This window comes from Homo sapiens, chromosome 6 (genome assembly GCF_000001405.40).
Source record: "Homo sapiens chromosome 6, GRCh38.p14 Primary Assembly".
Lineage (NCBI taxonomy): Eukaryota > Metazoa > Chordata > Mammalia > Primates > Hominidae > Homo > Homo sapiens.
The window spans coordinates 3,274,939-3,296,489 of record NC_000006.12 but is presented as its reverse complement, the minus strand read 5'-3'; the positions used below and the strand labels follow the sequence as shown (position 1 = coordinate 3,296,489).

The following is a 21,551-nucleotide window of genomic DNA, read 5'->3' as shown; positions in this document are numbered from 1 at the left end:
TTCACGTGTATTATTTCTCCATGACAGCCTATGAGAGAGGCACTATAATTAGCCCCGTTTGCCGATGAGGAAACGGGAGCACAGAGAGGCTAAGCAGCTTCCAGAGGTCACACAGCTGCTAAGAAGTTGAGCGAGGACTTGTCCAGCAGGGGTGCAAAGTCCAGCAGGGGTGGCTTTGCCACGCTGCTCTAACATGAGGGAGAGCTCTGGATAGATACAAACTTCCCTGCGCTGAGTAGTGAGTACTCAATCCAGGTTTCTCCAGCGGGGCCATGCTTGCTCGTTTTGGACGGTCCAGATGGCTTTCCCAGATTTCCCCAGACCTCACTCGTTAGCAGGTTAATGCTCTTAGGCTTACAGTACAATTTGTTTGTGGCATTTCCCTAATTAAGTCATCACACTCTGCTTCTTTCACGTTAAAATATTGTCTGGGAATAGCTTGTTTTCTCAAATCCTAATTACACTGATTCATTTCCCTCCTATATTTGGAAAGTGGTATTAGATCCTTTTTAAAAATTTATTTCTTTGCTTATGAGTTTTGCTGGTGCTTATTTCCTTTCCAGAGTCCCAGGCAGGAGGCTGGGTGAGAGGCAGTTGGTGACATGTGACTTAACAAAGAGGATAGAGGCTTCACCTCCTTGGGGAGCGGTCCTCAGGTGGTGGCTCTGCCCCGCAGCCCTTCACAGTGGACTCTGCTCTCTTCCACCCCCAGCTGTCAGATGTGTTGATGGCAGCACGATTGGCAGGGCTGCTGAGTGTGGGGGAAGGCAGCGTGTCTTTCAGTTGCTACATCTCCCACTTCCAGCTTCCTCTGCCCAGGCTCAGTTTTCTGCATGGAATCTTCCTCCCATCACCCCATCTAATCCCACAGCCAACACCTGCTCCGAGCCTCGTGTCTGTCACCCTCTCGCGCCCTGGCCGGCTGGCTGGGCTCCCAGCTTTGTTCCATCCTCCCTGCCACCAGGTCACACATGATCTGATCACATCACCACCGGCTTCAAGCCTCTCCAGTGCCTCCCAGTGCCTTTCGGGTAGACCCCAGGTCCTCCAGGCCACTGCAGAGGCTCTGATCTCTGCCTCCCACCACCTCACACCCTGGCCTTCGTTTGGCTCCCAGGACACACCACCGTCTCCCTCTCCACAGGTCCCTCCCGGTGCACACTCCCTGTCCTCTCAGCTCCCCACTCTTGCCTTGCCCAGCTCCTCAGAGACCAAGTCAGCCCCCAGTTATTCACTGTTACAACTTCAGCACTTCTCCCCGCTTCCCCTCATCCCAGCTACGACGAGTAATTGCAGGGTTCCTTATTACTGCCTGTCACCCCTGCAGAGCGGCAAGGCCAGGCAAGGCAGGGCCCGTCTGTAGAGCCAGACACTTCTGTGCCCCCAGCAGCAGCCCAGCCGAAGGCCTGACGCGACGCGTAGCAGGTGTGCCATGAATATTTATGGGCTAAACGAACCCAGGACTCCTATAGGAAGGAAGGGTTAGGATTGCGGTTGCATTGCCACTGGGTAAGTAAGCGTCTCGGGCCTGGCTGGAGGTACGTGTAGGGGTCCAGTGGGGCTGCTCACTGCCCCATCAGTACATCCTAACCTTGGACTTATGCCGGGGGAAAACCTGATGTTCTCAAATTTCTTATTTCCTTTTCTCTTTTAAAGCTGTCCTTGGTTTATCTCCTAGCAAGTGTGAAGTTCTTACTGGCCTGTGCAGCTGAGTTTAGATATGTGGGTGTGTTCCTGAGCATCATTCTCTCAATGTCAGTCCTGCAACCTTCATATCACATAACGTGCCCAACTGCTGAGAGCACTCCTGTGTCATTAGTTCCTGAGGTTTTGAGCGTTTAAAGCAGGAGTAGAAGGCCCGCTGGTTCCCAATGTGGCCGTGTGGCCAGCAGCCTAATGCAAAAACGAGACCCGGGATGAGTGCCACACACGGCACTGTGCCTTCAGTTTCACAGGCTGAGCATCCCTTATCCAGAATGCTCGGGACCAGAAGTGTTTTGGGGATTGGATGTTTTGGGATTTGGGGATATTTGTATGATACTTACTGGTTGAGCTTTCCAAATCCAAAAATCCCAAATCTGAATGCTCCAGTGAGCATTTCCTTTGAGAATCATGTGGGTGCTCAAAAGATTCTCAATTTTAGAGCATTTCAGGCTTCAGATTTTGTAGAATCTCAAATGGTAGTAATGTAACTCAATGTAGAATGTCGAATGCTCAAATGGTAGTAAGATAAGCAAAAAGTCACTGGACAGTGACTGCCAGGCATCGGAGGAAGCGCTTCATATGTATCTCATCTGCATCTGAGCTTCATGAGGGAGAGGAGCCATTCTCCCTACTTTACAGGAACAGAACGGGCCCAAAGAGGCTGAGCAGTGGGGAGCAGTAACTCCATGATACCTCTCAGTGTCAGGCTAGCCCCAGGGGAAGGACGGCAAATGCACTCCTGTCTTCTTCCTTGTGGGGAGCCACGTGCAGGGTGCAGGCATCCTCCGTCCTCAGCATCAGTCCTCTCCGGGCAGCCCCACACCTCACCCCGGAGAAGCCAACCTGCCCAGCATTGCCAGGATGCACGGCTGAGTCTGTGTGATCCGAGCGCCCCCATCTTAGCCCCATGTGGGGCTCCCTACTACCCCTAGCAATGACAGAGCTTGGGTTTTGTCCTGGCCTGCCTCACTCTGCCTTAACAATCTGTTCAGATCCTAAGATGACGAGAGGGTGGATATGTCAGGCCACCTCCACGTTCCACGCTAGGTACCTTGCCCAAGTCACACCACCTGTAAGTGATGAAAGCAAGGTATGACCCCAGGCAGGCTGCACAGGGCCCTCACTCCACAGGCGACCGCCACGGCTCACTCAGAGGGCTCAGGTTAGGTGGAGCCTGTGTCTGGGCAGACGAGGACAGAGATGACAGAGGTCGGCAGTGCCCGGTCAGTTGTTGAAAGCTTGGCTAGACATTGAAGATTGTGCTGTCTGAGGTGACTTCGTGATAAGACTCCTGTGGACGCTTATCTTCCACTTGCTTTCAAGCACATTTATTCGAGTGGCCGAGTGGCCCCATTCTAAATCCGTCCCGGAGGGGTGAGGGGCTGTGGGGAAGAGGCAGCAGGTGCTTTTTCTACTTCCCAACACGGGTGTGGGGCTCAGGGCTGCCTCCTTGGAGCGTTTGGTGTGCTTTTTTAATGACTCATGTGGCAGAGATGGCAGCATCCCTTCTTCCCTTTCATTCTCTTTCTCCTCCTCCTGCTCCTTGTCCTCCTCCTTTTTCTTTTCTTGCTTTCCGTCTCTATAACTGATGTTTTTCCAATTTCACCCCTAACGCACTAGCATCGTCCACTAGGATGACAACAAAGCCGGTTTATCTCATACCCCCACGCAAGCCAATTCCAATTCTCCTCTGCGTGTGTTTTCCCTGCTCCTCCTGAGCCTGGTCTTGGGCGAGTGGCCACTGCGTCCTCTGCTGTCCTCGGAGGCCTGGTTTACCTCTCACACCAGATGGCCAAATGTGGAGAGGCCGTGCCCTCCTCCCAGCGGGTCAGCAGGGTCATCAGGGCCTCCTTTCCCTCCCTCTGTTGGTGAAGAGAAGCTGGGAGATGTTGGGCTCACTGAGCACGGGGCGGGAAGACACGTGCTCCCCGAGTGCTCCCAGAGGCCGCGCCGAGTTCTCCCATCCGGCCCTCAAGGCAGCGCTTCATCCTACTTCACAGACGAGCAGCTGGGCTCAGAGCAAGGACAGCGTAGCTTTTCCAAGGAGAGCGTAGCTTTGCCGGAAGTGCAGAAGCTGGGTTCCTGCCCAGGCTCATCGGGCCCCTCACAGCACCCAGACCTCAGCCCCGACCACACGGGGATCCGTGAAAATGTGGAGGCACAGGGGCTGCAGGATGGCCTTGGACATACCTGGCTCATCAAAATTCAGTCGGCTCGACGTGGGTTTTGGTTGGAAAATTTTCTGATGGCTCTAAGTCAAGCAGGCTGATGTGTCCTCCTCCTCCTCTGTCTCGAGGAGAGCATGGGAGCTGGGTGCTCGCAGCAGCAAATCCTAGATGCCAGTGTCCCACAACCTGGCCGGGCTCCCTGTTGCCCATTCATTTCCATGTGTGAGGAGTTTAGAGAAGTCTCTAGATGTCCATCTGATACCTGGACAGACAAAAAGGCCTCTTGGATTCAGCTACCATTGAGGGTGTTAGAACCATCTGAAGTGTCCTATAACATAGAGCGCTGCCTTGAGGGCCGGATGGGAGAACTCGGCACGGCCTCCAGAAGCACTCGAGGATTTGAGGCCCAGAAGAACAGATATAATGCTGCGGAAGCTTCATGCTGTTGTTGACAGGCTGGTGATGTGAGTAACTGGTAGTAAGATAAGCACAAAGTCATTGGACAGTGACTCTGCCAGACATGGGAGGAAGCGCTTCATGTGCTTCCTGAAAACATATCAATAGCCCTGGAAAGGTTAATCTAATTCCACTTAGAAGAATTCAGTTACCTCTGCAGACTACAGTCAATTTTTTAGACTGGGTTCTAGGTTTAATTTTATTTAAAAAGCTCAGGTCATAATGCAGTTGTTATTGCTTCTTTAACATCATACTTAGTAAACAATAACATATCAGGAGTTCAGTTTGGGGTATATACTTTTTAAAACTTTAAACTTATATGGACTTGCTAATGGACATTGAAATTTTCTTCTCGGAAGTCTTCCATGGTGAGAAAACGTAGCTATTACAGTTGGTTTCTGATGAGTTCTATAATAGCAAAGATATTCAGATCATTGGATCCAAGGTTTTCTGTTAACCATGATATTTTCAAGCTCTTTATAAAATTAGTTATTTTAACCATGGAGAAACTGTGCCTGTAGTCAAAGTAGCCCATTTTTGCTGAGGAAAAATAATGGACCTTGGGAGCTGAGAGGGTCCGTGGACCAGCAGCTGAAACGCCGGCCCTGTGGGCTTACACACAGACCTCAATCTTTGCACCCAAGTATGGCAAGGGAGAAAGTTCTGGAAACTCAGTAGACATGAGCTCCCTCAGACAAGTGAAAGGTTTCTCCTTCTCCCTTCTGTGCCCTGGCTGGTGACACTCAGTTCAAAAACAATGTTTGAATAAAAACATCATTGCTTTATTCAAATCCCTACGGTTTAGCAACACATTTTTTCTTCAAACTATAATGAAAGAGCTTTGTGACCCTCCTACCGCTGGATGGCAGGAAGGAGGTGGAAGAGGAGGGTTGAACTTGAGCCATCCAGGGTTCAGAGTGGCCCTCGGAAGCACAGGGCCAGGGTCCTGGAGACACAGCCCCCGAGGGAGCAGAAGGATCCCTCTAGAGGCAACGACAGACCTCCCAGTACTCGACTTCCCAGATTGCGAATGTCTGATACTGTCGTGGTACTGTTGTCGAAACTAAAAGAGTGACATTGGAACACTACCATTCACCAAACCCCAGCCTTTATTTGGTGCCTCCCATCATCGTGCTTTCCATGACGACTCCTCCCACCCGGGATGCCGCCCAGGACTGCGTCTTGTCCTCCCCTCTCCCTAGTCTCCTGGTCTGACAGCTGCTCAGTCTTTCTTGTTTCTGGTGACCTTGACAGTCTTGAAGAGTCCTGGTTCCCCTCCGCTTCGGGAAGTCTCCCTTTTCTTTTTTAGCTCCCCAGTAGGGGATTACTCCATGAAGACATGCCAGGCTAGGAAGGCAGAGAGGCAACAGAAGGCTGAGGTGGCATTCCTGCTCCCAGACGTGCAAGCAGACAGCTCCTGGAGGCCAGCACCCCCACCATTCTGAATCTTCCCTGTAAATTGCCAGATCAACACCAGCACCTCTGCAGACCCCTTGGCCTGGTGAATGTAACACTGTGCGCTGGTGGACTCCCTTCAGAGGGGCTTTCAGAGCCGCTGGAGCCGCACAAGAAACTCAGTCTCATGACTTTATAGTTGCTCACATCCCTTGGAGCCAAAATATTGTCCAGCCCCCAAGGACTTCTGTTAACTAAAACATGCACACGTATATGCATGCGTATGAATGTGTGCATGTATGGTGTATACACATACACGCAGATGTGTTCACTTATGTATTTGGCTTTCAAAGATGCATATGATGTCCTAAGGGCAGTTTCAGCAGAAGTAGCTACAGCCATAGTTCCACCCCACAAGGCTAAGAAGCATATCTGCATGTGGCCTTCCCAGTCTCCGAGCCGGGGGTGACACAGGCAGATGTAGAGTGTACGGAAAAGAACTGCATGTTTAGATTTGCCCAGGGCCTAATGAGTGCCTCAGTAACCTAGAATATCATCGCTGAGCTCTGTACTCAGACAAAAGTGAACTGAGTCGAGACCGTTTGTGTGCACTCTGACTGGTTCCAAAACAAGGGTTTGTGATGGAAACTTCTGCTGACGGTGCACCTTGGTGCCCTCTCAGGCACCCGAGCGAAACCTGAACTGCAAAGCTGGGGTCTTATGAGTGCCTTTCTATCCTGGAAACCTAGACCCTATCCACTGGCAAAAAAAAAAAAAAAAAAAAAGCTTCTCTCTCCCTTCTGTGGTACCCGAACTGGGGAACCAGGGCTGTGACTGCAGCTGCTGTCCTGTCCTCTGTGGGCGGCCTGCCCAGGGCTCACAGGGTCTGTTTCTTTGCAGAGCTGGAGAAAGAGCTTTCCCGGAGGCCCAAGAAGGTCTGCATCGTGAAGGTGGTGGGGACACGGAACCTGTGGAAGAACATTGTGGTCCTGTGTGTGAACTCGTGAGTCACAGAGGACAAGTGCCAGCTGGGTGGGAGGGGGCCAGGGAAGAAGGTGGGGAGTGGTGAAGCCCAGGGCCCTGCTCCCCACCCCGCTGAACTTGGAATCCTAAGGGTGTGTGTGTGAAGAGTGACACGGGCTAGAAGATATTGACCTCCCCCGCTCCCGGAAGCCTCAAGCAGCCGGTGCCCCCCAGCCCAGGCGTGTAAATCCTGTGAGCAGGGCCTCCCCACCACGTGCCCATGAGGTCCAGGAAACCAAGATGCACATGGACGCACCTCCTCAGGGGCACAGTGGGGGATGCCACAAGGCTGGAAATTCTGGGCCCTGTCTCAGGACAGGGGATTTGAGACCCATGAGGCCTTGGCCCCTGCCTGTAGCCGGCCCCGCCCTTCCTGAACCTGCAGCCAGCCTGGCCAAAGGCCCCAGGACAGCCGTGGGTGGAGGCAGGTGGGCCTGAGCCAGGCCAGTGAGCGCAGACCTCCTCCCAGGGCCCTCACCGGCCCAGGTCGCCCCGCCTGCTGGGTCCTGCAGGGGCTGGGGGCATCACTCACGCAGGTTCTTTGCAGCCCAGTCCCTGGACTTGGTGTGTACCTAGAAGGTCACTCCTGTCTTGAGCTCAGTGGCCCTGACTGTGCAAGGTGGTCCCTTGTTCAGGGTCAGAGGTCACCAAGGTGGCGGAGGGAAGGGATTTGACTCATTTGGGTTAGAGGTCACCTGGGGTGTTGCACTCATTTGTGAAAGGTCTCGAGCTGCCACCAGGTAAAGACAGGCCCAGGGTGAGGGCGAGGGGCCAAGCATCCCCCATGGCTTTTTCTGTCAAAGCAGCTCATCAGTTCTCCATATTGGGGTTCTGGGTTGAAATTGATTTGTGAGGAGTACAAGAGGCTCTACTGCCCAAACAACAGTAGAGCCTCATCCTGAGCTCAGGAGAGAGACCAAGGCCAGGGACCGGCCACGGCCACATCAGGCCAAGCCCAGGGCCTCAGCCTTGGCCACTCTGCTGCTGCCTGGTTCAGGTAGATGCTGGGTGAGCTGGCGGCACTGTTAGGAGTTGAACGGCTTCTCTACATTTTATGTTGGAAAAAAACATGAAATTTGACATAAGATGGTGAGTTTCCATTTTAATGATTCGTTTTGTGGAGACGGGGAACCGAGCTCTCTGGCTCTGTTATCTTCAGATGACCTGTTGTGGTCAGGGGAGACTTCATTTCTACCAGAGCAAGAAGGTAGGAGATTGCCCTGCTATCTCAGCAGGCCAGAAGAGGAACTCTGGAGGCTAACTGAACCAAATCAGTTGCTGGATTATAAAGCCATTGTGCGGGGGCTGGGGCCTCTGCCTATTTCCCAAGAGGAAAGGCATTCACCTGGCAAGGGGTGGCTTCCCCCTATGGGGCAGGGACGGGGTCTGTTACAGTTGACCTTGATGCATTCTCAAGGTTAGATGAGAAGGACGTAGATTTCCCTGAAGCACGAAAGGGTGTTTGGGGAGAGAAGGGGGCAGTTTTTGGCTCTGGGATGGTTGCCAAGAGCAGACATAAGAAGGGTCCCTCGAGGCACCACGGGTGCATCACAGGTACACCCCAAAGGTTCCTGAGAGCCCTGAGGCACCCCATGGATGGCCATCAGCAGCCTCCGTGGGAGGGTGCAGCCACGCCTTTGTTCCTGTTTTCAGGGCAGACACGTTTTTCCAGCAGGTTGATACGCTCGTGTGGGGCAATAAAGAAGCTTGACCCAGGGCAGTGGAGGGGAAACAGGGATAAATTAAGAATCAAAACGGAGGCCGGGTGCGGTGGCTCACACCTGTAATCCCAACACTTTGGGAAGCCAAGGCAGGCGGATCACTTGAGATCAGGAGTTCGAGGCCAGCCTGTCCAACATGGTGAAACCCTGTCTCTACCAAAAAATACAAAAATTAGCTGGGCATGGTGGCAGGTGCCTGTAATCCCAGCTACTTGGGAGGCTGAAGCAGGAGAATCACTTGAACCAGGGAGGGGGAGGTTGCAGTGAGCTGAGATCTTGCCACTGCACTCCAGCTTGGGTAGCAGAACACGGCTCTACTCAAAAACAAAACAAAACAAAAAAAAAAACAGTTTCCTGTGGACCCTATATGTCTTCCATTGGCCTGGCTTCTGCCCGACTCCTCCAGGCTGTGTGGGTGGAGTTGAGGCTGGTATGGATAGATCTCCACCCTTCCAGAACCCTAAGTGCCCAGAAAAGCTGCGTCTCTGAGTTGCCGCTTACCCGCCGAGAGCCTCGTGCGAGCTGCTCTGCCCCCCTGCCCCTGTGAAGTGGGTGTGCAGTGGCTGTTGGATTGCGGCCCTGGGTTAAATGAGTCAGTACCTGGAAAGCGCTTTGTCTTGGAGGATTCCCATGAAAGTGTGTGTTTTAACAAAAGGACTCACTGCTCTTGTGCCCACACCTGTCTATTAAAGCCATGGTAGTGGGGCATGAGCCTGGACCTCCATCAGGAGAAGCATTCCATATTTCTCCCACGTCTCCTCTTTTGCATTGGCTCTGTAATCTGCTCGTGGTTCGGTCATGATGGGCTTTTCTATGACACATTGAGTTGCTTCTTCATCTCCTGGTCACCTGACAGCACGAACTCCCAGGAGGCAGCGCAGCCCCTGGCATGGGGGCAGCCCACCCACTGCCGCTCGGTATGTCTCCACAGGCTGACGGGGTACGGGATCCACCACTGCTTTGCCAGGAGCATGATGGGCCACGAGGTGAAGGTGCCGCTCCTGGAGAACTTCTATGCTGACTACTATACCACGGCCAGCATCGCGCTGGTGTCCTGCCTGGCCATGTGCGTGGTGGTCCGATTCCTCGGGCGCAGGGGAGGGCTGCTGCTCTTCATGATCCTCACCGCCCTGGCCTCACTCCTGCAGCTCGGCCTCCTCAACCGTGAGTGGGTCGGGGAGGTGGGCTGGGTGCAGGGAGGGAAGCTGGCAGATCCCCAAGGGCATTTGAAAGGGCTGCATAAGACTCCGCTGGCCACTCTAAAATCTACTGCTGGAAGGAGCTGCTTTGGGGAGAACAGAGCTTCAGTTGAGAGCATCTGTGGAGCCCGCCTTAGAGGGCACTGGGCCTTCCCGCCTCCCCCTGCCCCTGCCCCGGCCCGGGCTGCACCATGATTCCTTCCGAGTCCTGGTGGCCCAGTCTTTGCTAATAGGTAGACTGCTTCTGTGTGATTCATCACATGACCAAGAAGAACAAAGGATTGTCTCTTTCGAGTGACATTAAGGGGGAAATAAATCTGTTTTGTCACCCTTGCATTAGGGCCCTGCTTTTCAGCAGATGTTCCCGAGTTCATCAGCTTCTCTTTGGACCAAAGAATTTCTCAGTAAAGGTTAAAAATAATCTGGCCGGGTGCGGTGGCTCACGCCTGTAATCCCAGCACTTTGGGAGGCTGAGGCGGTCGGATCATGAGGTCAGGAGTTCAAACCAGCCTGACCAATGTAGTGAAACCCCATCTCTACTAAATATACAAAAAATAATTAGCTGGGCTTGGTGGTACACGCCTGTAGTCCCAGCTACTCAGGAGGCTGAGGCAGAAGAATCACTTGAACTTGGGAGGCAGAGGTTGCAGTAAGCTGAGATCGCAGCACTGCACTCCAGCCTGGGTGACAGAGCAAGACTCCATCTCAAAAAAAAAAAAAAAATCTAAGGCAAAGCTAGAGAGTCCATCTGGCCCTTCCAGCAAGCTCTGTATAGCTCCTCACCAACAAATACCCATTCCCGTGTATGGACAAACCACCACAGCATCTCCGTGGCCAGCCCAGGGCGCGACGTGAACAGGCAGGACCGATGAGCCTCTTCTCCCACCCTGGCACGGTCCTCCTGGGACAGGCTCAGGACACTGCGGGAACATCGACCCCACAGAGCTCCCCTGCCTTTACAAGGAAAATGAACCCGGGCTCTCAGAACTAGACGCCAGGGCTGTCCACCGCACCCAGATCAGAGCGGCCTTGTCGTGCAGCCTAGATTAGAGATGGCTCACTTCAAACTCAGGAGCAGCTTTCTAACTTGGACAGTTCTTATGCAATCTATACCTTGCTGGGAGACTGCTGTTAGGCTTAGCTAATGGATTGCACACGTGGCGCCTGTCTCCCTCCATCCCCGTTCCCCAGCTGCCCTTCCAGGGAGTCTCCTGCTCACACAGTTGGGACGGAAGTGGCAGGGTGCCTCAGCCCCCGGGTGTTGTGGTGCCCCTTTGGCCCTGAGCAGGAATGCACAGGAGCCCCAGGCGAACACCAAGCAGCCGTGAGGAGCAGAGCTGGGGCTGGCAGGGGCACCCCACAGCACTTGACGCAGCTTGAATGCAGGCGGCAGTGACCTGTGGGTGACTTTACATGCAAGGAAGCTCACCCTTTGCACCTGCTGGGGTCTCACTGTGAAGGTTCCATTTTCTCCTCAGGCTCTGAGGCCAGCAGGGTCTCACTCCTGTCTTCCTAACAAAAAGATCTTTGTTTAGCGCAGTATGAATTCCACTGCCCCGGCGGCCAGCGCCATCCCAGACACGGAAGGGAGTTTGCTTGAACCAAGTCGCATGGGAACACGCTAGGCTAACTCCACACCTAATGTGCTCTCTTCTCTCTTCTCGCTTGCTTGGCCCTTGTCCGTGTGGGTGCGATCATGTCTGCGGGTCCAGTGATTGGAAAGTACAGCCAGCACCCAGACTCAGGTGAGTCCCAAGCGCGTGGGCTGTGCTTCCTCGTCTCATATTACATCTAAATGGGTGTTTTCTCGAAGACTCACGGACCTGTGGTTTCCATTTTCTCTTTCTCCCCGTTGCCCTCCAAGAACTGCAGCTGAAGTTGGCCGTAGGTTGGACACTATACGGATACATTTGTATTCTCCCTCTTGCCTCTAGAAAGAGCGACTGGTGCTTCCCTGTTTGTGTGCTGCTTGGCACGCATGCCCCCGCCCCTTCCCCTGGCACCAGGCTCAGCACAGGCCCTGGCCCGGCGCCAACATGCTTTGTCTTAGGGACAGTTGTCTGGGTGGGGGGAGAAAGCCTGGGAGTGCTGGGGCCCGGCTGTCTGTGCTGCCAGGGGAAGCCGCTGTCCCCCTTTGACTCATGTAAGCTTGCTGCCCTGCAGCCCATGGGGACAGCACAGTGCCGCCCTGCACCTCGAAGCTGCTGCTGCACCCGCCTGGCCTGCCCCAGCCCTCGCCCGTGTCCCTGGAGAGTGCTTGCCCTCTATGCAGCCTTGGGGAAGCTGAGCTGAGCCCCAGCTGTATGGTCCTGACAGCATGCCCGTGCACTGTGCCAGACCCTGTCCTGGCGCGAGGTCGGTCTCCGGTGCCATTTACGAGGGCTTTGATGGGTTGAACACTTGCCTTCTGGGCCCATAAATTCTGTGGCTTGAGTTTTTGTTTCCTTAAATCAACCCTGACTCAGCTACCCTGTCCCACACGTTGGGCACATCAGACCTGACTGGAGCAAACATAGGCCAGGGCAGAGGGATGTCGCTGTGGCACCAGGGACATGCCAGCCTGCCCTCCCACCAGGCATGGCTCCCGGCTGAGGAATTCCAATAGAGGCCACCATGAGCTTCAGCATGCTTGACGCACAGGGACTCATAGAAGCCCCACAAAACCCACTGCAGGGGCTCTGGGCTTCTAGTCCTTGAGGTGCTGCTTGGTCCCCAGAGGGAATTGCATACCCATCCATGCCGCAAGCTGGACACTGGGAAGGAGCTGTGCTGTGCAGCCCCAGGCCTCCCTCCCACCCTGGCCTGGCTTCCTCTCTTCCCTCACCACCTTCTTCTGACCTTCCCCCAGGGATGAGTGACAGCGTCAAGGACAAATTTTCCATCGCGTTTTCCATCGTGGGCATGTTTGCCTCCCATGCGGTGGGGAGCCTCAGCGTGTTCTTCTGTGCGGAGATCACCCCGACGGTGATAAGGTGCGTCATGGGAGACACCCCAGGGGACGCCGGCTTCTCGGAAATCAAAGACGAGTCCCTGGCTCCAGGCTGGTGTGGGATTAACCAGCGTCAGCTCTGTCTCTGGCTCTGGACACATCAGCTTCGTGGTTCATAGCTGAGGTGGCTGTTGGACCCAACCCCGAGGCGCCCAAGAGGCAGTGAGAACCTGGCCCTGGGGTCCTGTCCAGGCAGCAGCAGGAGGAAGGGGGAACAGGGAGCTACTCTGGGCCCAGGAAATATGTCAGTGTCTGAGCGTCTGGCAAGGGGGGGAGTGCAGCGGATCACTTATGCCGCACTTCCACCAGAACCTGTGCTGCCAACTCTGCTAAGAGACCTCACGGCACAGCTAGTGCAAAATGTTTCACAAAGTAGAAAGAGCCTACCCCCCGGCCCTCCCCGAGATGGAGTTTCACTCTTATTGCCCAGCCTGGAGTACAATGGCATGATCTTGGCTCACTGCAACCTCTGCCTCCCAAGTTCAGGTGATTCTCCTGCCTCAGCCTCCAGAGTAGCTGGGATTATAGGTGTGCGCCACCACGCCCGGCTAATTTTTACATTTTTAGTAGAGACGTGGTTTCACCTGGTTGGCCAGGCTGGTCTCGAACTCCTGACCTCAGGTGATCCCCCCACCTTGGCCTCCCAAAGTGCTAGGATTACAGGCGTGAACCACCGTGCCAGGCCAAAAGAGCCTTATTTCATACTGACCTGAGAAGTTGATGTCATGAATCCAAAGCGAGCACAGCGAGTGAGATTACTGACTCATGTAAGAAACATGGATGGAGAGCCCACTGCGCGCCAGACACTAGGCCCAGAAAACACAGCAGCACAGTCCCGCCCTCGTGGAGTCTGCGGCCATTTCATACCTCCCTAAAAGGTGTGACTAACCTGTGCTCAGCCACTTTTGCTTTAGTTCGGAAAGTGAGGCTGACCCCTTCCTGGTGCCGTCTCTGCCCCTGGGTCGTGGTTCATGGGTGCTACACGCCATTTACTGTTGCCACCATGCTTATAGGTTAATAAAAAGGCACGCCTCCACTAAAAGGGCATCACTCAGCTGCAGTCATTTTCCTACACTGTTTGTGACTTACTGAGGAGCTTGAGTTATACCACACTGAACTTCTTAAAGGAGTATCAGCATTTCTCATGCACGTGCCTTCATAAAACAGAACTTGAGAGTAATGGCAGTAGTTCAGCCGTGAGTCAAAACCCAGGTGTCCGCATAATGACACCCTTGGGAAAATCCAGTAGCGGCTATTCCAGTCCAAGGCAGACTATGTGGAGGCTAAGCTGGGGAAGGCTTTGGGAGCAAGTAGGCAGGTCCGTGGACTTTCTTACTTTCCACATTTCCAGTAGCCATGCTAACAACAGCATCTTCACGTCCACACTTTTTGATTCATTCTCTTGGATCGTATCCTACAGGCCCAGCCTGACAGCTACTGGGCACCTGGACAGAAATGCCAAGGCATTGTATGATTAAGCACAAGGAACTCATCCTGTCCCTACCTTCTGCATCAGCCACAGGGGAGAGATGAGTCAGGAGCTTATTTAGTGCTTGCAGTTGCAGGATACCTCAGGCCGACCGCAGGCTCACTCCCTGTCTAAAGGACGGAAAGTGAAATTTCTCTCCTTTATCAAACAAAACAGCAAAGCCAAGTCTTTCAATAGACCAGAATCCACAGTCAGACCTTCTGGGTTTCCAGCTGGCCTCCTGCAGCCTTTGCATGATTATGCATATTTTGTTGGGGGAGGGGGTGGCTAGCGGGTACCCCTTAACTCTGGCAGTTGGTAGGCATCATTATTCTCTGTTAGATTTGGCTTAGCAAGCTAGACGGAAGGAAATGCTGTAAGCTTTTCCTCTTTGACGCAAACCTGGAAAGATTTGAGGATAGAAATTCAACAAACATGTTCTCAGATTCAGCTTGCCAAGATGACAAACTGGAAAAAATATGTGACCCTTGGTGATGCTTTTGTGCCTGCAGAGGATGAAAGGAAATTAAGTCCAAAGGGGGTCCCTGGGCCAGGCTGGGAGAATGTCTAGCGTTCCTGACAAATCCCTCTTCTCGCTGGGAGCCCTTTTCACCCGTGCCATCGGGAGGCCACAGCTCTTTCTTGCAAATGACTGAGGAACAATTCCCACGGAGGCCCTAGGATGGAAGTAGACTCCCCTACCATCCCCCCACTTCACAGAGAAAATTCCAAGATAAGCCACGATGGGCAGCCTGGGGCCCGTGAGCTCCATCTTTCTTAGCACAGAACTAGCCTTTCCCTGTGACACTATTACAGACAAGCCTTCTGGCAGCAAAGGGTAAGGGGCCAGGATGGACTGCCTGGAAGCAAATATTAGGATATGAAATTTTCTGCAAAAAGTTCAAAAAATGCTTTTATACTTTTCATACTTGTTCCACCACAAAAAGCAACAAAGGCCTGCAGAAATCTATTGCCCCAAGGATGATAGAGGCCAAGTTAACTAAATATTGTTTCATGAGATTCTGTTCAGACCTCGCGTTGACAGAACCAGCTACCCGCTCAGGCCCAGGCCAGGTGGTGGTTCTCATCAGCCAGTGCACAGCTCTGATTCATCTGTAAGACATTGGGAGTTGGGTGACTTTGCAAGTCTATCTGACTGTGCCCATCTCCCAGCTTGACATGGGCAGAAGTGGCCTGGGGTCCTGGGCGGATCTGGAAGCAGCTGCTGGCTGTGCTGGGGCGGATCTTTTCTATCCACTGTCCATCTGGATGCTCCAGGTGGGCTCCGAGGCTTCCTTTGCCCTCACGGAGGGGTCCAGGTGAGAGAGGAGGCAGGCGCTGGTGATCATGACACCCGCCTGTTTTCTCCTGCCCTGCCCACTCCGGCAGCCCTGGCCCTTTCTAGATCATAAGTCGGACAGGCCTCCCTGAGACACTCCCTGACTGACGACTCCCTGACATCTGTCTTCCGCTCTAATGCTGCCTCAAGAATAGGCACCGAGGGCCAGGATGACCTGGGGTTAAGGGAGTATCAGAGTCTGTTCAACTTCTTTAAAAAGTTGTATCTTAAAGGCCGGGCACGGTGGCTCACGCCTGTAATCCCAGCACTTTGGGAGGCTGAGGCGGGCAGATCACGAGGTCAGGAGATCGAGAGGATCTGGCTAACACGATGAAACCCCGTCTCTACTAAAAATACAAAAAAAATTAGCCGGGCGTGGTGGCGGGCGCCTGTAGTCCCAGCTACTCAGGAGGCTGAGGCAGGAGAATGGCGTGAACCCAGGAGGCGGAGCTTACAGTGAGCCGAGATCGCGCCACTGCACTCCAGCCTGGGCGACAGAGCGAGACTCCATCTCAAAAAAAAAAAAAAAAAAAAAAAGTTGTGTCTTAAAAATGTCACATCTGAAAACAAGTACTGAGTAGCAGACAGGAAGCCAGCATGCGTCCCATGCCGGCAGCGCCTGTGGCGTGCGAGCGATGAGCAGCGGGGCAGGATGAGGGGAGGGTGCTGATGATATGGCCCGGAGCCTGGGAAGGAACCAGACGGAGCTGCCCATGATCCTGAGGCCGCCTCCCTGTGTGGCCTTGGGTGGGTCCCTCGGCCGGCTTTAGTGTCCTTGTCTTAAAACAAAACTGACTACAGGCACCTTGTTAGGCGGGGGTGGAGAATGGAGGCCATGTGCAAAGGGCCTGGGCTCAGCACAGGACAGTTCATATTCTTCTTCTTCGCTGGGCATCTTCAGCAGTTGTATTTATTTCTATAAAAAATGGTACAAATATTTGCTTATCCTCAACTTCACAGAAATTTAGTCAAGTCACATTAAGTAATATAAAAGAGGAGCTAGAACAGGAGCCTCGCCTCGGGTGTTTCAATGTGAGATGGTAACGTTCACATGGCTAACAGCAATTTGATTCTGGAATCCTTAATTCAATGAAGTTTGCCATTTCTAGTAAGAAGTCGGCCTGCATATCAGTTTTCCTACCTTATTGAGATCCTATTGCTAGTAAAATAAAGATATCCCGTGGGTATTACAATTTTGTGCTCCTAAAGCCCAAGGAGGCAGTGTGCGCCCTCGGTTCTCTGTCCGTAAATCAAGCAGCTCTGACTTCTAAACACGGGCGTATGCTGCCCTCTAGTGACAACCCAGAGAAAAGCAGAAAAGGCACTGGCAGAGCCCACATTTCAGGGGCAGGAAAGGAACCCAACACCTTAAAACCAAGGATGTAACAATCTCTTTCTCTGAGATTTCAAGAGAGAAAAAAAAACAAAGCCAAAAATGGCATACCAACTTCTGCCAAAATTTTTCCTAATCGTACTGAATGATGTCAAGGATTTTTTTTTTTTTTTTTTTTTTTTTTTGAGACGGAGCCTTGCTCTGTTGCCAGGCTGGAGTGCAGTCGCGTGATCTCGGCTCACTGCAACCTCCAACTCCCTGGTTCAAGTGATTCTCCTGCCTCAGCCTCCCAAGCAGCTGGGATTACGTGCACGCGCCACCACACCCAACTAATTTTTGTATTTTTAGTAGAGACGGGGTTTCACCATGTTGGCCACAGTGGTCTCGATCTCCTGACCTCGTGATCTGCCCATCTCGGCCTCCCAAATTGCTGGGATTACAGGCACATGAGCCACCATGCCCGGCCATATCAAGGAATCTTTGATAGAAAACCAGAGAATTGCTCCCACAGAAAAAAATAAAAAGATATATTCCATATTATATATGCATGTGTACATTTGTTGCATATTATGTATATACATATACATAGACATTTTTCTAATGATCTGCAAATTAAATATATTTCATTTTATTTGGCACAGTTAACAAGATAGATCAGTATGATGTGGTTCACCAGGCACAATGCAAGGCTTTTGTTCCATGCAGTTTGCCCTTTAACAGTGGCCCTCTGCCCACCCCTCCTGGGGGTCTGTACTCTGCCCTCCTGTATGTGACTCCCGTGTGAGTAAGGGGAGTCCTCTCACTGCTTGTCAGTGCCGTCCACATTTAGTGCCGGGAAGGTCAGGCAGAAACCTGGGAGGTTTCCGAGAAAATGCTGTCCCCATTAAAATCATGTCCATTATCCCTAGCATCTGATATGCCCTGTGGCTTCCTGAAAGAGCCAGGTCTACCAGAAAGACTTAATTGGCTATTTTAGGTGTTCAGTCTTCATCTTACAGAAGGATTTGGTCTTATTGCTCATTTCCGTGGTTGTCTCTATTTAACCTGTCCCATTCACCTGGGTGAGCTGACCTTCCTATCCAGGAAGCCCGTGTGATCCGCAAGCATCCGGTATTTATTAAGCACAAACAGCACGTGCCTGTTGATGTCCTAGAAAATAATTCTTGCCCTTGAAGGGCTCAGAGACTAGTAAGGTGACAGGCACATGAACAAATAGTGACAGAAAGATGCAGAGTGTCTTTGAACGGTGGTCTGGGACCCTCAGCCTGGGAGGAGTTTGAGTATCTGGGAGACATCCCCCAAATTCTTGCTCTTCCTCATCCATATCGTCTTCAGGCCCAGAAGCACAGTGGTGTGGCTATTCCTGCAACTCTTTCAGCCTCTCCCTGGGAAGGGCTTTCTAATATGAAGTGCTGATGCCTGTCACAGCCTGCATGAGAGGTGGCTGTCAGTCTCCCTCCGTGGCTAAGGCAGGGGAATCTGTCACTCACCGAGTATCTTGGTTTTCTATTGCTGCATAACCAATCGCTCCAAAACAGGGGCCTGAAGTAGCATGCATCTACTATCTTATGGTTTCCATGGCTCCAGAGTCTGGGCACGGCCTGGCTGGGTCCTCTGCTCCAGGTCTCTCAGAGGCTACCATCAGTGGGTAGGGCCCACCACTAAACCAAGTCAGGCACTGGTAGGCTGTTTCCTCACGGGCTGTGGGGCTGGCAGCCTCAGCTCCTTGCTGGCCGTTGGCCATAGGGACCACAGTCACAAGGCAGCTCGCTTCGTCAAAGCTAGCAAGAGTCTGCTAGAATCTGCCTTTTGGAACCTTGTTGTGGAAGGAACATCTCACTATCCTGGCCGTAAATTTGATTGCTAAAAAGTACGTTATTTGTACCTTGTACCTTGAGGGCCAGCGCACACTCAAGGCACAAGGGTGGGAATTACTGGGGCCAGTCTAGAAATCCGACTATAGCACTGAGTAGATGCCCAGGTGCCAGCCAGGTCTCAGTGGCTGGGCAGGTGCTGGGGACAGCACACGGAGTGGAGCCTGGTCCTGCCCTGGAAACATCTGGTGTCTATTAGAGACACACAGACACGCAATGCGAATGTGTCTTCGGGCTACACAAGTGTCCTGAGGATGCAGGGGAAGTGCCCAAGAGAGCCTGCTCAGTCTGGACTCAGAAGGGTGGCTGGGACGGGATTCCCAGGATGTGGCCTGGAGCCCGCACATAGTGGCTCTAGAGGCGATGCGTGTTTGGCAAGTGCACTGCGGCGGGAGGAGGTGAGGCTGGATTCCTAGGGCTCGGGGAGCAGGAGCAGAGGTTCCTGGAAGGGTGAGGGTGGGCGGGTGTGAAGCAGCTTGAGGAGGCAGTGTTTGCAGAGCTTGGTGCCTCACCGAGAGGAAGGCCAGGGTGGAGGAGAAGGGTCCCAGTGGCACAGCCCCCTCTGCCAACTTTTAGGACTCCATGTCATGCCTGGAGGCTTTAGGCCCATGGGAGAGGCTCATCCTGTTCGCCTCCCAGTTCTTGAACCTCTCCAGCTCTGGTTCCTCCTACACCCAGCTGCCCCCTAGACCCTGAAAGACTTGGGTGGCCCCTTCCCGGCACTCAATGGATGCCACCTGGAACCAATCAAGCCACGGATCTTCCTGTCCCCATGCTAGTCACATTCGTGCTTTAACCTCCACTGCACTTGGACATTGGAGCTTTTCTCATCCCTGTTTTATAGATGCAGACCGAGGCTTCGGGAAGTGAAGCTGGTGGGCGGGGGCCAGGATTCTAGCCCAGGCTCATGGGCTCCAGAACTCCTGCTCCCAGCCACGGCACTCGCACCTTTGTGGCAGCAAAAGTCTGTTCTGTAGCTCACTTTGGGCTGGCTCTTTTTATGTGGGTTTACTCAAGGCTTGGAGGCTAATGGCTGATGCCCCAGTCTTGACAATCATCTAATGGAATAAACATTAACGAAGACCCTGTACCAGAAGGCATCTCCTTCCTCGAGAAATGCACAGACGGCGCCCTACCCAGGTAGCCTGTGGGAGCTCGGCTGAGCCAGCATAGGCCAACCTCACAGAGCGAGCACCAGACAGAGCTGAGGGACCCCGGTGCCATGAGTATTGGGACTGAAAGGCAGAGGACAGGAGGAAGAGGTGGGGCCCCCAGGACCTGTGCATCACCTTGCAGGCAGGAGGGAGCCATTGGAGGACTCTGAGCAGCCAGGTGATATGATTAGCTCTGTGTTCTAGGAAAATCGGTTTGGCAATGGTGAGGAAACAAAGTCTAGGGGGTGCAGAAGATGCGCCAGGGAGGAGCGCAGACCCAGGCGGCCTGGAGTGGAGGCCCTGAGGACTTGGTCATGGGCTGGACAGGAAGGAGCTGGGAAAGGGAAGAATCCAGCGAGTCTTTGTCCCCTAGGGCTGCAAGCCTGGCAAGGCTGCCCTTGTGCCCCCAAGCCCTGTGCCCATGGTGGATGCAGATGGGTGGACTGCAACCAACAGAGAGGCAGTCATTTCTACATTAGAGGGAGAAAAGGCAGAGCAAAGTGTCTTCTCTTATTTTGTTACAGGACAAAAGCCCCCAACACACACACACACACACAATCACCATTCTTCCATTGCATTCTGAGAAAAAGGCTCCAAATCTGTGAATCTTCCTGGGGTTATTAGCATAGACCTGTGTATATCTGGTTTATGAGGGCCACCTGGGAACCCTGGGACTCCCATCCTCCCTGCCCAGGTCACCTTTGCCCAAGCCTCTTTGGGCATGAGCCACTGTGTCTGGCCTGCCCATCTTTTTACTGGATTATCTGTCTTCTTTTTGAGTTATAAGAGTGGCGTGGTGGCTCACGCCTGTAATCCCAACACTTTGGGAGGCCAAGGCGGGTGGATCACGAGGTTAGGAGATCAAGACCACCCTGGCTAACACAGCGAAACCCCGACTCTACTAAAAATACAAAAAATTAGCTGGGCATGGTGGCACGCGCCTATAGTCCCAGCTACTCAGGAGGCTGAGGCAGGAGAATGACATGAACCTGGGAGGCAGAGCTTGCAGTGAGCCGAGATCATGCCACTACACTCCAGCCTGTGCGACAGTGAGACTCTCAAAAAAAAGTTCTTTATATATTCTAGTTACAAGTCCTTTATCTGATATATGCTTCACGAATATTTTCTCCCAGTCTATGGTCTTTTTTTCTTAAACATGTATCTTTTGAAGGGTAGGAGTTTTTAATCCTAATGAAGTCCAATTGATCAGCTTTTTCTTTTATGGATCCTACTTTTGATGTTATGTGTAAGAAATCTTTGCCTAACCCAACGTCATAAAGCTTTTCTCTTGTTTTCTTCTAGAAGCGTTATAGTTTGAGCTAAGTTAAGCACTTAGATTTTATTATCCATTTTGAGTTCATTTTTTTACATGATGTGAAGGGTCCAACATCATTCTTTTGCACATGAATATCCTGTTGTCCCAGCACCACCTGTTGAAAAAACTATCCCTTCCCCCTCACTGGATTTGCCTCCATCTACAGTCAGTTGACCATAAATGTGAAGGTTAGTTTCTGAACTCCCAGTTCTGTTCCATTGATCTATTGATATATACACCAACACCACACTGCCTTAAGCCGTATGGCTTTATAGTTTTGAAACTGGGAAGGCAAGCCTTCTTTGTTCTTTTCCAAAATTGTTTTTGACTACTCTGAGTCTTTTGCATTTCCATATAAATTTTAGAATTGGCTGTTTTCTGAAAAAAAAAAAAAGTCACCTGGAATTTTGATA

General features: G+C 52.5%; 1 protein-coding gene across 15 annotated transcripts in view, besides 4 other annotated features; it reads left to right on the top strand.

Moving 5' to 3' along the window:
• Nucleotides 1–21,551, top strand: part of SLC22A23 (solute carrier family 22 member 23) — a 188,078-nt gene that overhangs the window by 160,561 nt on the left and 5,966 nt on the right. For 13 of the 15 annotated variants that reach the window (NR_168069.1, NR_104448.2, NM_015482.2 and 10 more), the window contains 4 exons: nucleotides 6,624–6,726; nucleotides 9,399–9,631; nucleotides 11,379–11,411; nucleotides 12,515–12,638. Coding sequence is in view for 13 of the 15 variants with exons in the window: in NM_015482.2 (NP_056297.1) it covers nucleotides 6,624–6,726; nucleotides 9,399–9,631; nucleotides 11,379–11,411; nucleotides 12,515–12,638 (493 nt within the window). In the remaining 2 variants the exon portion in view is untranslated. Of the gene's footprint in view, nucleotides 1–6,623; nucleotides 6,727–9,398; nucleotides 9,632–11,378; nucleotides 11,412–12,514; nucleotides 13,698–21,551 lie in introns of those variants that run through there. The other 2 variants (NM_001382317.1, NM_001382319.1) reach the window with 1 other exon arrangement.
• Nucleotides 9,034–9,563: an enhancer, noted in NCBI's record as "H3K27ac-H3K4me1 hESC enhancer chr6:3287161-3287690 (GRCh37/hg19 assembly coordinates)". NCBI's record gives its function as "activates a minimal SCP1, AML or CMV promoter by ChIP-STARR-seq in primed H9 embryonic stem cells {active_cell/tissue: H9 hESC(primed)}" and the evidence as "EXISTENCE:reporter gene assay evidence [ECO:0000049][PMID:30033119]".
• Nucleotides 13,045–13,972: an enhancer, noted in NCBI's record as "H3K4me1 hESC enhancer chr6:3282752-3283679 (GRCh37/hg19 assembly coordinates)". NCBI's record gives its function as "activates a minimal SCP1, AML or CMV promoter by ChIP-STARR-seq in primed H9 embryonic stem cells {active_cell/tissue: H9 hESC(primed)}" and the evidence as "EXISTENCE:reporter gene assay evidence [ECO:0000049][PMID:30033119]".
• Nucleotides 14,101–14,395: a silencer, noted in NCBI's record as "tiled region #5686; K562 Repressive DNase matched - State 14:Gen5'". NCBI's record gives its function as "represses a minimal TATA promoter and a strong SV40 promoter by Sharpr-MPRA in K562 cells {active_cell/tissue: K562}" and the evidence as "EXISTENCE:reporter gene assay evidence [ECO:0000049][PMID:27701403]".
• Nucleotides 16,810–16,869: an enhancer, noted in NCBI's record as "active region_23888". NCBI's record gives its function as "activates an Ori minimal core promoter by ATAC-STARR-seq in GM12878 lymphoblastoid cells {active_cell/tissue: GM12878}" and the evidence as "EXISTENCE:reporter gene assay evidence [ECO:0000049][PMID:35858748]".